Source organism: Homo sapiens, chromosome 14 (genome assembly GCF_000001405.40).
Source record: "Homo sapiens chromosome 14, GRCh38.p14 Primary Assembly".
Taxonomy (NCBI): Eukaryota; Metazoa; Chordata; class Mammalia; order Primates; family Hominidae; genus Homo; species Homo sapiens.
In genome coordinates this window covers 77,157,671-77,171,594 of record NC_000014.9, presented here as the reverse complement: position 1 = coordinate 77,171,594, position 13,924 = coordinate 77,157,671, and the positions used below count along the sequence as shown (strand labels likewise).

General features: G+C 42.1%; 1 annotated feature.

Annotated features, from left to right (window-relative positions):
* Window positions 12,715–13,009: a silencer, noted in NCBI's record as "tiled region #385; HepG2 Repressive non-DNase unmatched - State 21:Repr, and K562 Repressive non-DNase unmatched - State 20:ReprD". NCBI's record gives its function as "represses a minimal TATA promoter and a strong SV40 promoter by Sharpr-MPRA in HepG2 and K562 cells {active_cell/tissue: HepG2 | K562}" and the evidence as "EXISTENCE:reporter gene assay evidence [ECO:0000049][PMID:27701403]".

Genomic DNA, 13,924 nt, shown 5'->3' with positions numbered 1-13,924 from the left:
CAGTCATTCTCCTTCAGTTCACTCACAGATTATGAGCCAGGTAATCTATTAAAAGCCTCTAAATGTTATTTGTTCATCCAGAATCCCTTTCCAGGAAGATGTCTCCTCTCGCACTTTGTGAGATTCTATTCAAAATAAGGATTTTGAAAAGCCCTGACATATTCCTGGGAATCTAGAGGATAAGCACATGCTCAAGAAAAACCTGAGAAAGCCCTAAGCTCTCACCTCTGCATGACCTTCAGTCTCTAAGCAAGAAGAAATTGAAGACTAAGGCAGAGTTATAAACTGCCTAACTGAACTCTGAAGGCATGTCCCAATACACATACACAGGCTTATCTATAAAGACAGGGCAATTTTACTGTTTTTTGTCCCAGGTGTTTAAGGAAATCTCTGTCCAATCACTAGCTGATTGTGAAGCTAATGGAAGAGACTTCTGTGGCCATACACACACACACACACACACACACACACACACACACACACAAAGAGTTCTCAAAATTAGTTCAGAAAAGGCACTAAACAAACAAACAGCAACAACTACAACAGGCAGGAACAACAAACCCTAGGGAAATCTGATTTCCAGAGTTGCCAAATTATAATATTTGAAATGTCCGGTTTTCTACAAAAAATTACAAGGCATGGAAAAAACACAAGGAAGTATGGCCCCTACACAAGAAAAATGACAATTGATAGAAATTATTCCTGAAGAAGCCCAGACATTGGGCTTACTTTTAAGAGACTTTAATTCAACCATTTAAAATATGCTCAAAAAACTAAAGGAAACCATGTACAAAGAACTAAAGAAAACCATGAGAATGATGTCTCACATATAGAGAATATCAATAAAAAGACCAAACTTATAAAAAAGAGCCAAATATAAATTCTAGTGCTTAAAAGAATAACTGAAAGGAAAAATTTATTAGAGAGACTCAACAGCAGATTTGAGCAGGCAGAAGAATCAGTGAACTTGAAGATAAGTCATTGAGATTACTCAGTCAGAGGAGCATAAAAAAGAAAGACATAGAATAATGAGCAGACTTTAAAAGACATCACCAAGTATACCACAACATATGCATAATGGGAGTGCCAGAGGAGGTAGTGGGGTCTAATAGGAAGAATACTTGAGAGAAATAATGGGCAAAAACTTTCCAAATTTGATGGAAAACATTAGTCTATACATCTAAGAAACTCCAAGTAGGATAAACTCAAAGAGGTCCACACTGAGACACGTTATAATTAAACTGTTCAAAGATAAAGACAAAGATAGAATCTTGAAAGCAGCAAAAGAGAAGCAGCTTATCACGTAGAAGTAATGCTTAATAAGATTAACAGCTTATTTATCATTAGAAACCATGGAGGTAAGGAAGCAATGGGATAGAACATTAAAAGGACTGAAAGAAAAACAGCTGTCAGCCAAGAATGCTATATCAAGCAAAACTATCCCTCTGGAATGAAATAGAAATTAAGAAATTTCCAAATAAAAAAAGAGTTTGTCACTAATGCCCTACGAGAAATGCTAAAGGGAGTCTCTCATGCTGAAATGAAAGGACAGTAGGCAGCAATTTGATTTCACATGAAGAAATAGAGAACACTGGTAAAGGTAAATATAAAAGTCAATATTAATGTATTTTTAGTCTGTATCTGTTCTTTTTTCCCATATTATTTAAAAGGCAACTATATAAATAAAAATTACTGATATATATCTATGATAGACACAAATGTGTAAAGATGGAATTTGTGACAAAAGCAACATAAAGATGGGGGTAGAACTATATAGTAGCAAAGTTCTTATACTGAAACAGTATTAATCTAAACTAGATTGTTATAAATTAAACATTAATTTTAATCCTCAGGGCAACCACTATGAAAATAACTAAAAATATATAGTAAAAGAAAAGATGAGGAAATTAAATAGTATATTAAAAAATATCAGCCAGTCATGGTGGCTCGCGCCTGTAATCCCAATACTTTGGGAGGCTGAGGTGGGTGAATCATTTGAGCCCAGGAATTCAAGACCTGCATAGGCAATATGGCAAAATCCCATCTCTACAAAAATACAAAAATTAAGCTGGCACAGTGGTGTGCGCCTGTAGTCTCAACTACTTGGGAGGTTGAAGCAGGAGGATCACTTGAGCCTGGGAGGTGGAGGTGTCAGTGAGCCAAGATTGTGCCACTGCACTCTAGCCTGGGTGACAGAGAAAGACCTTGTCTCAAATAAACTGAAATAAAATAAAAAAAAATATCTTTAACACAGAAGAAGGCAGTAATGAAGGAAATAAGGAACAAAAATGGTATGAAACACTGAAAACAAATAGCAAAACAGCAGAAGTAAGTCCTTCCTCAATTACTTTAAATGTAAATGAATTAAACTTTCCAATCAAAAGGCAGATAATAGCAGATGAGTGTTTAAAAATGATGTAACTATGTGCTATCTACAGGTGACTCACTTTACATTCAAAGATACAAATAGGCTGAAAATGACAGGGTGGAAAAAAGTATACCATGAAAACAGTAACCAAAGGCAGTGGGGGTGGCTATACTAATATTGGAAGCAATAGACTTTAAGACAAAAATTGTTACAAGAGACAATGAATGACATTATATAATGATAACAGGGATATTTCATCAAGAAAACATAACAATTATAAAGATATATGCACCCAGCAACAGAACCCCAAAATACATGAAGCAAAACCTGAGATAATTAAAGACAGAAATAGACAAACAATAACAGTTGCAGATTTTAATATTCCACTTTAAATAATAGAACAACTATACAGAAGATCATCAAGGAGGCAAGGCGTGGTGGCTCACACCTGTAATCTCAGCACTTTGGGAGGCCGAGGCAGGCAGATCACCTGAGGTCAGGAGTTCAAGACCAGCCTAGCTAACATGGTGAAACCCTGTCTCTACTAAAAACACAAAAATTAGCCAGGAGTGTGGCGGGTGCCTGCAATCCCAGCTACTTGGGAGGCTGAGGCAGGAGAATCACTTGAACCTGGGAAGTGGAGGTTGTAGTGAGATGAGATTGTGCCATTGCACATCAGCCTGGGCAACAAGAGTAAAAGCTCCATCTCAAAAAGAAAAAGAAAAAATAAAAAAGATCATCAAAGATATAGAAGACTTGAAGAGTACTATAAACAAACTAGACCTAGCAGATATTTATGGAGCACTCCACTCAACAACGACACTCAAAGTGCTGGGATTACAAGAACGAGCCACCACAGGTGGTTCTCTTCCTCTTCTTATAAAGATGTCAGTTCTATCCAATTAAGATCCTGTTTTTTTTTTTTTTTTTTTTTTTGAGATGGAGTCTCACTCGGTCACCCAGGCTAGCGTGCAGTAGTGTGGCCTTGGCTCACTGCAACCTCTGCCTTGTGGGTTCAAGGGATTCTCATGCCTCAGCCTCCTAAGTAGCTGGAACTACAGGCGCATACCACCATGCCCAGCTAATTTTTTGTATTTTTAATAGAGACGGGGTTTCACATGTTGGCCAGGCTGGTCTTGAACTCCTGACCTCAGGTGATCTGCCCACCTTGGCATCCCAAAGTGCTGGGATTGTGGGAGTGAGCTGCTGAGCCAGACCAAGGCCCTCTCTTTATGATCTCATTTAACCTTTAGGTCCTGTCTCCAAATATAATCACATTGTGGGTTAGAGCCTCAATACATGAATTTGGGAGGGATACAGTTCAGTCGAAAACAGGCATCTATGAAAAACCCACAGCTCACATCATACTTAATAATAAAAGATTGAAAGCCTTCCCCCTACAATCAGGAACAGGATAAGCATGTCAGCTCTTGCCACTTCTGTTCAACAACGCATTGGCAATTCTATCTAGGGCAATTAGTCAATAAATAAATAAAAGATAATCAGATTGGAAAGGAAAAAGTAAAACTATCTCTATTTGCAGATCACATACTCGTTTATATAGAAACCCTTAAAGAATCTACAAGAAAAGACTATTAGAGCTAATAAACAAGTTTAGTGAAGTTTTAGTGTACAAGAATCAGTTGTAATTCCATACACTAGCAATGAAAAATCTAAAAATAAAATTAAGAATTTCATTAATAGTAGCACTGAAAAACATAAAATAATTGGGAATAAATTTTACCAAGTAAGTATAAGATTTGTACACTGAGGCCAGGCGTGGTGGCTCACGCCTGTAATCCTGGCACTTTGGGAGGCCAAGGAGGGAGGATCACCTGAGGTCAGCTACTCAGGAGGCTGAGGCAAGAGAATTGCTTGAACCCAGGAGACAGAGGTTGCAGTGAGCCAAGATTGCGCCACTGCACTCCAGCCTGGGCAACAAGAGCGAGACTCTGTCTCAAAAAAAAAAAAAAAAGATTTGTACACTGAAAACTACTGTTAAAAAAAAATTTTTAACCAAAATAAATAAAAGACATCCCACATTCATGAACTGGAAGACTTTTTTTTTTTTTTTTTGAGACAAGGTCTCTCTCTATTGCCTAAGTTGGCGTGCAATGGCTTGGTCATGTCTCACTTCAGCCTCAACCTCCTGAGTGCAAGTGATCTTCCTACCTCAGCCTCCCAAGTAGCTGGGACCACCACACCTGGCTAATTTTTGTATTTTTTGTAGAGATGGGGTTTCACCATGTTTCCCAGGCTGAATCTTAATATTTTTAAGATAACAATACTCCTCAAAATGATCTACAGATTCAGTGCAATCTCTATCAGAATTACAGCTGACTTGTTTGTAGATATAGACAAGCTAATTCTAAAATTTTATGGAATTACAAGACACCTGAATGCCGATCACAGTCTTGAAAAAAAAAAAACCAGCGTTGAAGGACTGACATTTCTCAATTTCAAAATTTACCACAAAGCTTCAGTAATTGAAACAATGTGGTACTGGTATAATCTCAATTCCATTTCTATATGAAATAGAATTGAGAACCCAGAAATAAACCCATACATCTATGGTCAGTTAGTTTTCAACAAAGGTGACAAGACCACTTGATGGTGGAAAGAATGGTCTTCTCAACAAACAGTCCTGAAATAATTCAATATTTATATGCAAAAGAATTAATTTGGATACCCTACTTTTTACCATATCAAAAAATTAACTCAGGGCATATCAGAGTCCTAAATATAAGAGACCTAAAACCCTGAGACTTTTAGACGGAAACATAGGTGTAAATCTTTGTGACTTTGAATTAGACGTTTTCTTAAATATGACACCAGAAGTACAGGAAATGAAAGAAAAATTGAATTTCATCAAAATTTAAAACTTTTTTGTATCAAAGGACACTCTCAGGAGAGACAACCCACAGAATGGAATAAAATATTTGCAAAACACATATTAGATATGGGACTAGTATCCAGAAAAAAAAAATATATATATATATATTTTTTTTCTTTTTTCTTTTTTTCTTTTCTTTTTTGAGATAGAGTCTTGCTCTGTCGCCCAGGCTGGAGTGCAGTGGCACCATCTTGGCTCACTGCAAGCTCCACCTCCCGAGGTCATGCCATTCTCCTGCCTCAGCCTCCCAAGTAGCTGGGACTACAGGCGCCCACCACCACGCCCGGCTAATTTTTTGTATTTTTAGTAGAGACGGGGTTTCACCGTGTTAGCCAGGATGGTCTTGATCTCCTGACCTCGTGATCCACCCGCCTCAGCCTCTCAAAGTGCTGGGATTACAGGCATAAGCCACTGTGCCCGGCCGTATCCAGAATATATTGTTTTTAAACTCTTACAATTCAGCAATAAAAAGACAACCTAATTTTTAACAACAAGCAAAGGACTTGAATAGACGTTTTCCCAAAGAAGATATATAAGTGGCTAATAAGCACATGAAGAGATGCTCAACATCATTAGTTATTAGGGAAACAGAAATCAAAACCACAATGAGATGCCACTTCACACCCTCTAGGATGGACACAAAATGGAAAATAACAGGCGTTGGTGAGGATGTAAAGAAATTGAAACCTTCATACATTGCTGATAGGAATGTAAAATGGTGCAGCCACTGTAGAAAATAGTTTCGTGGTTCTCCAAAGAGTTAAATATGGAAATACATATGTCCCAGCAATTTCACTCCTAGATATATATGCAAGAAAATTGAAAACATGTTCAAACAAAATGTGTACATGAATGTTCACAGCAACGTTATTCATAACAGCCGAAAAGTGGAAACAACCCAAATGTCTATCAACAAATGAATAAATAAAATGTGATATACAATGAACTATTATTCAGCCATAAAAAGGAACGAAGTACTGATATGTTCTACAACATGGATGAATCTTGAAAATATTATTCTGAGTGAAAGAGGCCAGATACAACAGGCCCCATATTGTATGATTCTGTCTATACAAATGTCCAGAATAGGTAAATCCACAGAGATAGAAAGTAGGTTGTTCACTGGCAGGAGCTGAAGTGTTGGGTGGTGGTCATGGTGGTGGTGATAGTGAAGGGGGCACTGAACTGACTGCTTCATGGCTGTAGGGTTTTCTTTTTGGGGTGATGAAAGCTTTCCGTAATTACTGGTGATGGTTGCACAACTCTGTGAGTACACACACAAAAAACACTGAATTGCATTTTTTTTTTTGGAAATATGGAACAGAAGTTGTGATGTATTACTACTGGTGGTATAAGAGAGCTAAATCATAATTGATTATAATAGGGTATAGAAAAGTAATATCTAGAAATGGATATATAGAGAAATAGCAGCATAAATATGGTATTGTCTCTAGAAATATGCAGATAAGTACCAGATAAAACAACTGAGCACTTAAAGAAGCTGTTTCTGGGGATTCAGGAGTAATAGGTTGGAAGTGGGAAGTGGGAATGACATTTCTTCTTCTTTTTTTTTTTTTATGCTTCAAAAGACTCTTTAAGTGGTTTAAGGCCAGGCGCAGTGGCTCACGCCTGTAATCCCAGCACTTTGGGAGGCCGAGGCGGGCAGACCTCCTGAGGCCAGGAGTTTGAGACCAGCCTGGTCAATATGGCGAAACCCCGTCTCTACTAAAATGCAAAAAAATTAGCCGGGTGTGGTGGCACACACCTGTAATGCCAGCTACTCGGGAGGCTGAGGCAGGAGAATCGCTTGAATCCGGGAGACAAAGGTTGCAGTGAGCCGAGATCGTGCCATTGCACTTCAGCCTGGGTGACAAGAGCAAGACGCCGTCTCAAAAAAAAAAAAAAAAAAAAGTGGCTTAAATGGTGAATTTTATGTTAATTCTGTCTTAACAAACAACAACAACAAAAAAGTACAACTGGAGTGGATTTCTGTGTATATGGGCGATAGGGAATCAATTTCAATTTTTACCTGTGGACCTTCATCATCATTTATTGAAAATACTATCTTTCCTGACCTCTCTGCAGCGCCACCTCTGTTATAAGTCAACTGTCTGAATAAGTGGGGTCTGTTTCTGGGCTCTCCGATCTTCCGGCCTATTTGTCTATGCCTGAAACCACCATTACTGTAAGTTTACTGTAAACTTAAAATCTGAGAGAGCAAGTTCTCCTACCTTGTTCAACTTCTAGAATATCTTGTCCTTTTTTAGCTCTTTGCATTTAGAATCAGCTTGCCCAGTTCTAAAAACAAACCTGATGATATCTTGGCTCAGATTGGATTAAATCTATAAATAATTTGGGGTGAATTGATATCCTTAAATTATTAAATCTTCAGGTCCAAGAATATGGTGTATTGGCATACCAAGAATATGGTAAAGTTTTATAATTTTTTCTATGAAGGTCTCGCATAGCCCTTAAAAAATATATTTCCAAATTCTAATACGTTTATATTATATAAATTATACATTGAATTTTTTTCATTTTCAAATTATTTGTTGCTGCTATATAGGGTGTAATTGATTTTTATTTTTATTAATTTATTTTATTTATTTATTTGAGACAGGGTCTCACTCCCATCGCCCAGTCTGGAGTACAGTGGTGTGATCTTGGCTCACTGTAGCCTCAACTTCCCAGGCTCAAGAGATCCTCCCACCTCAGCCTCCCAAGCAGCTGGGACAACGGGTGCATACCACCTTGTCCAGCTAATTTTTTTGTATTTTTTTGTAGAGACTGGGTCTTGCTATGTTGCCCAGGCTGGTTGATTTTTATATATTGATTGTTTAATTCAGCAACTTTGCTAAACTCTCTTATTAATTCTTAGTAATTCTAATAATTCCTAGATTATTTTGGATTAAAACAATTTAGCCATTATTAAAAAAAAAAGTTCATGCCCCCCAAGTCTAATTACATGTATGTTATTCCAGTTGATATTGTCACCGATCATGTAGGCTCTGTTCCTTTCATCAGGCTTTTTTCTCTCTGGTTCCCTTGTAGCCTCTTCAGACGTCATCTACACCCTGGCAGAGTACCCAAAAGCCCTTCACAGGGACTCAAATCGCTGTAAAGCAATTCAATTTTCCTATCAGATTTATTTATATATTTAAAAAATTAAAAAGAGTGCCCATGCATAGTCAATGCCAGGGTTCAGGAGAGTGGTTGCCTCTTGAGGGAAGGTAGGAGGAGGGGATTAGGAAGTACATCAAAGATAATTTACTGTTTTCTTTCTTATGCTGGTGGCAAGAGCATGGATTTTATTTTTATTTTTATTTTTACAACCTTGAGCCATAGGAGCATGGATTTTTGATGGGTTATTTTTTATATTTTTTTGTTTGTTTTAAATATTTCATTTTTCAAAAGACACAAAGACATGAATCTCTACATGTTGGAATCTCTGAAAGTGAAAATGAAAGAACTGAAATATAGGATGTTTGGGAATTGAAACAAGATATCAGGAAATCATCAGGGTCTAGACTTGGGCTCCTTGATACCGCTTCTCCTGTCCTTCCAAGATGCTCCCTTGGTCCTTGCATGCTCCTCTGTATCCTGGAACAGCCTAAGGGGCTCTTGGTGGAGTGGGCAGGAACAGAGGCTGTGGACGCCCATGGTCATTTGTTAAGTCTGATGCCTCTAAGCTGGCACTACCCGCTTTTGAGCATATATTATCCTGACTTTATTGCCAGCATATTATTAGTTGTAGGAAAATATAGCTAACTACTAAGTGCCTTTAGGCTACAGTGAGATGATTTTTCCTCGCCTTCAGTACCCTTTTGGCTGAGCAATGCTTAATATTCTCAGCTCTGTCCATTGTTTCCTTTCAGATCTTTCTATCCTGAGCAGGGATCCTCCCTCTCTCTGATGCCTCACATTGTGATGAGCTGGAAAGCCAGCTATCCCCTTGCCCCAGCAACTTCCTTACTAGCCTAGCCCTTGCCAAGGCATTCCAAACAACAACAACAGTAACAGCAATCTCTAATATTTGTTATACCTCACACACATTAACACGTGTATCTATCTACATGGATAGATAGATACAGGTATATACTATTATTATAGTTCTCAATTAATCTTCAAAATATCACAGGTAAGGGAGACATCATTATTATAATTTGTAATGCTTTATAGATGAGGAAACTGAGGTTCAATAACTTGGCCAAGACCACATGAGCAGGAAGAGGCTTGGCAAAGACCGGAACCCAGTCTTTCTCTCTCAAGATGCTGTATTTCTTGTGGATGGTCAGAACTGCCTGGCCAACCCATAGAAGAGTGAGAAACAATAAATCATCATTGATTTAAGCCATTGGTTTCTTGGGTGGTTTGTTACAAGGCAGTATATCCCTGAAACAGATGCTGAATATTAGATTGTAGATTAATATTTTCAGCATGAAGATATGTTTACAACATATTGTTAAGTGAAAAAAAAGAAGTTATAAAACAATGAATGCAACACGAGTTCATTGTTGCAAAAAACAAAAGCAGATGATCTGAATCTATTCGATTCCCATTTGGGGGTAGTGAGTGTTTAGATGTTGAGGGATGTTTGTATTTGCAGGAGGATGCTGATGCATTTCGATCCTATTGCCTGGAAGCTGATGACTGGAACCCAAAGCGGGATAATGTGTGTGGAGCATCTTCCACTCTAAAGAGAGGTGAAAACCACTGTGTACCTCCTGGGGCTTCAACAGCCTCCAGAACCAGCTCTCCACTCCCACCATTGCCAGAAACCCTCCTCCTTTCTATAAGCGGATGAGAACAGTCAAGACCGCCTAAATAATTTTTGGAGCCCAGTGTAAAATGAAAACAAGTTGCCCCTAATTTAAAAATTAAGAGACTTCAAGACAGAAGAGCATTGGACCAACCGCCAGCACTTCTGACCTGAGGCCTCATGGAAGTGCACAGACCACACACCCCTGAAACTGCCCTTGTTCCTAACCGAGGGTAGGGGCTCTGCTTCCCCCTCCGCTTTCTGGAAGTAGGGGTGAACTCCTGGAGACTTGCTCACAGAAACTGGGGTGCCTGTAAAGGAAGAGGCTGGCATCCCATGGCCCAAGGGGGGCAGGAATGGGAAGGAGAGTGGACAGAGGCAGCCACACAGAGCCAGCAGCAATGGAGGGGCCCGCATGCCCTGTTCGGCCAGGTAAGGGTGCATCAGTTTCCTGGGGGCCCCATAAACACTGGGGAGGTGGCTGGGGAGGAATTTCACTGGTGGGCCTCTGGGAGGTTGAGCTGAGAGGGAAGATATCTAGCCAGAGTAACCCTCTCCCTAGACAACTCAACCACATACCCCACTTGGAAGCCTGCGGCAGAAGGCATTGATTATCAGGCAGTGGTGGCCAAGAGAACAAGATCTGTGGCTGCTCCTCTCCAGCTCTCATCCCCCAACCCATCACACACCAACCTCAAATCCTGGAAATGAAAGGACTCCATGCGGGAGGGGAGGAAGAGAAACCTCTGCCCCCCATTCCTAGCCTTGCTTGATGCTGATGGACATGGGGCGGCGGCAGTCGTCCTATAATTGCACATGATTTTTAAAAATTATTTTTAGAGATAGGGTCTTGCCCTGTCACTCAGCCTGGAGTGCAGTGGTGCAATCATAACTCACTGCAGCCTGGAACTCCTGGGCTCAAGCAATCCTCCTGCTTCAGCCTACCAAGTAGTTGGGACTACAGGCTACACACCACTACACCTGGCTAATGTTTTATTTTGATTTTTTTTGTAGAGACAGAGTCTCGCTATGTTGTCTAGGCTGGTCTCAAACTCTTGGCCTTAAGCAATCCTCTGCTTTGGGCTCCCAAAGTGCTGGGTTTACAGGTGTGAGCCACCGTGCCTAGCTGAACATGGTATTTAACTTTTATTTTATTTTATTTTTTTTGAGACAGGGTCTCACTCTGTTGCCTAGGCTGGAGTATAGTGGCACAATCATGGCTCACTGCAGCCTTGACCTCCTGGGCTCAAGCAGTCTTCCCACCTCAGCCAGTAGCTGGGACTACAGGTGCATGCGACTACTCCTGGTAAATTTTTGTATTTTTTGTAGAGATGGGGTTTCACCATGTTGCCCAGGCTGGTCTCAAACTCTTGAGCTCAAGTGATCCACCGGCCTCGGCCTCCCAAAGTGCTGGAATTACAGGCGTGAGCCACCGCGCCTGGCCTTAACTTTTTTTTTTTTTTTGAGACAGAGTCTCCCACTGTCACCCAGGTTGGAGTGCAGTGGTGCAATCTCAGCTCACCGCAACCCCCGCCTCCCGGGTTCAAGCATTTCTTTTGCCTCAGCCCCCTGAGTAGCTGGGATTACAGGTGCGCGCCACTACGCTCAGCTAATATTTTTATTTATTTATTTATTTATTTATTTATTTATTTATTTATTTATTTTCAATTATCTATTTTTGAGATGGAGTCTCACTCTGTCACCCAGGCTGGAGTGCAATGGCGCAATCTCGGCTCACTGCAACCTCTGTCTTCCGGGTTCAAGCGAGTCTTCTGCCTCAGCCTCCCGAGTAGTTGGGACTACAGGCCCATGCCACCGTGCCCGGCTAAATTTTTTTTGTATTTTTAGTAGAGACGAGGTTTCACCATATTGGTTAGGCTGGTCTCAAACTCCTGACCTTGTTATTTGCCCGCCTCAGCCTCCCAAAGTGCTGGGATTACAGACATGAGCCACCGCGCCTGGCCAATATTTTTATTTTTAGTAGACATGGGGGTTTCACCATGTTGGCTAGGCTGGTCTTGAACTCCTGATCTCAGGTGATCCGCCCGCCTTGGTCTCCCAAAGTGGTGGGATTAAAGACATGAACCACCGCGCCTCTGGCCTGAACTTTTAAATTGAACTAGACTAACCTGGATTTTTAATAACTGGAGGTGACCAGAAAGCTAGGAATCTGCCAGGAATATTGTTCAGGGTCAGAAAAGGAGATTTGGCAAAGCATGGTCGAAGGCTGTGATTAGAGACAGAGCAAAAATATTTCCTGTTTGAATCCTGTTAAATTCAGACTTTTCCAAAGCCAGTTCCATGTGAATAGAAATACATTCAGAAGGAATTAGAGCAGGGCGTTAGGCACCAATTGGGTGTTGGGATTTTGTACTAAGACAAAAAGTGGCTTTTAATGAAGGGAGATGTGCTACCCTCCCTCCAGCCTGCCCCCTGAGTCTCCATCTCCTCTGGACCCCTGCCAGTGATGGGCAGCCCCTATCCAGTGGCACGCAGCCTCACTCATGCCTGTTCTGTGCAGCTCAGGAACCAGTCTCATAAATGTCTGTTGCATCAAAACATCACTGCAGAGCCAGGAAAGCTTTTGTGCCTCCCTGGAGAAGCCAGGTGGGGGTGATTTGCAGGGATCTGGTGCCAGCAGGGTGGTGAAGGTGAGGGTGGAGTTGGAGAGGGGCAGACAGGGTGCCCAACTCGTCCTCGTGTCATTTGGGGAAAGCCCTCAGTCCTGGGCCATCCAGGAGGGTTGGTCACCCTGGCAGCAGGATTCGGGCTGACAGAGGAGAAGATTGGTCGGCATGGGGTGAGGACAGAGCAAGGCTGGAGAGACCGCAGCTGGGAACAGCCTCAAAGGAGAGAGTGCCGCCTCTCCTTTGTCTCCACGGCTTTCACATCTTGTGGGGAACAAAGCCTCTTTCTGCTGGGAGGGGCTCCTTTTCCCTAAATCAGGAGGTGTGTGAGCATGTGAGCATGTGTGAGTGTGTATGTGTGGTGTAAGTGTGCGTGTGTGATATATGTGATGTATGTGATGTGTGTGTGCATGTGTGTGTGATGTGTGTGTGATGTGTGATGTGTGTGTGATATGTGATGTGTGTGTGTGATGTGTGCACGCATGTGTGCGTGTGTGTGATGTGCGGTGCTGGCGCACACCCTCCCTCCCTCTCTCACTCCTTCACTCCCTCCCTTTCTCACTCCAGCGGGGATGACTCAGCAGGGAAGCCGGGCCTGCTCCTCACTCTGGCTGTGATGCAGCTGCCGCCCGCTCCCTGTCCCCTGCTTGGCCTGCTCCTCACTCTGGCTGTGATGCAGCTGCCGCCCGCTCCCTGTCCCCTGCTTCCCCTCCTGGTGGCAGCCACACTGGCTGGTCCCAACTGCAAGAGCCGGGGACTTCTTGGGCTGAGGCCCCTGTGATCTCTCCTTGGTGGCCTTGAGGAGGGGGCTGACCAGCCTCCCCTGGCTGCACAGGCCCCTTATTCTCCCCCTCCCCATTCCAGCTGCTTTTCCCCTCCCCAGCTAACACTGATGGGGGTTCCCGTGTACCAGGCACTACGGTAGGACTTCATTCATCCTCACCCCGTGAAGCCAGCGCTCTGACTGTTGTCATCCACAAACTGAGAACGTGAGGGATGAGAGGCCAAGTCATTGGGCCAGCCATTCATTCACATGCAGTTCTGACAGATACGCACACCCACGTGGGCTAAAGGGTACGGGCAGGGACACTCATGAAAGAACCCCAGGTAGCAGGCTGGGCGTGGGGGCTCACGTCTGTCATCCCAGCACTCTGGGAGGCTGAGGCAGCTGGATTGCTTGAGGTCAGGAGTTCGAGACCAGCCTGACCAACATGGTGAAACCCTGTCTCTACTAAAAATACAAAAGTTAGCTGGGCGTGGTGGTGCATGCTGTAATC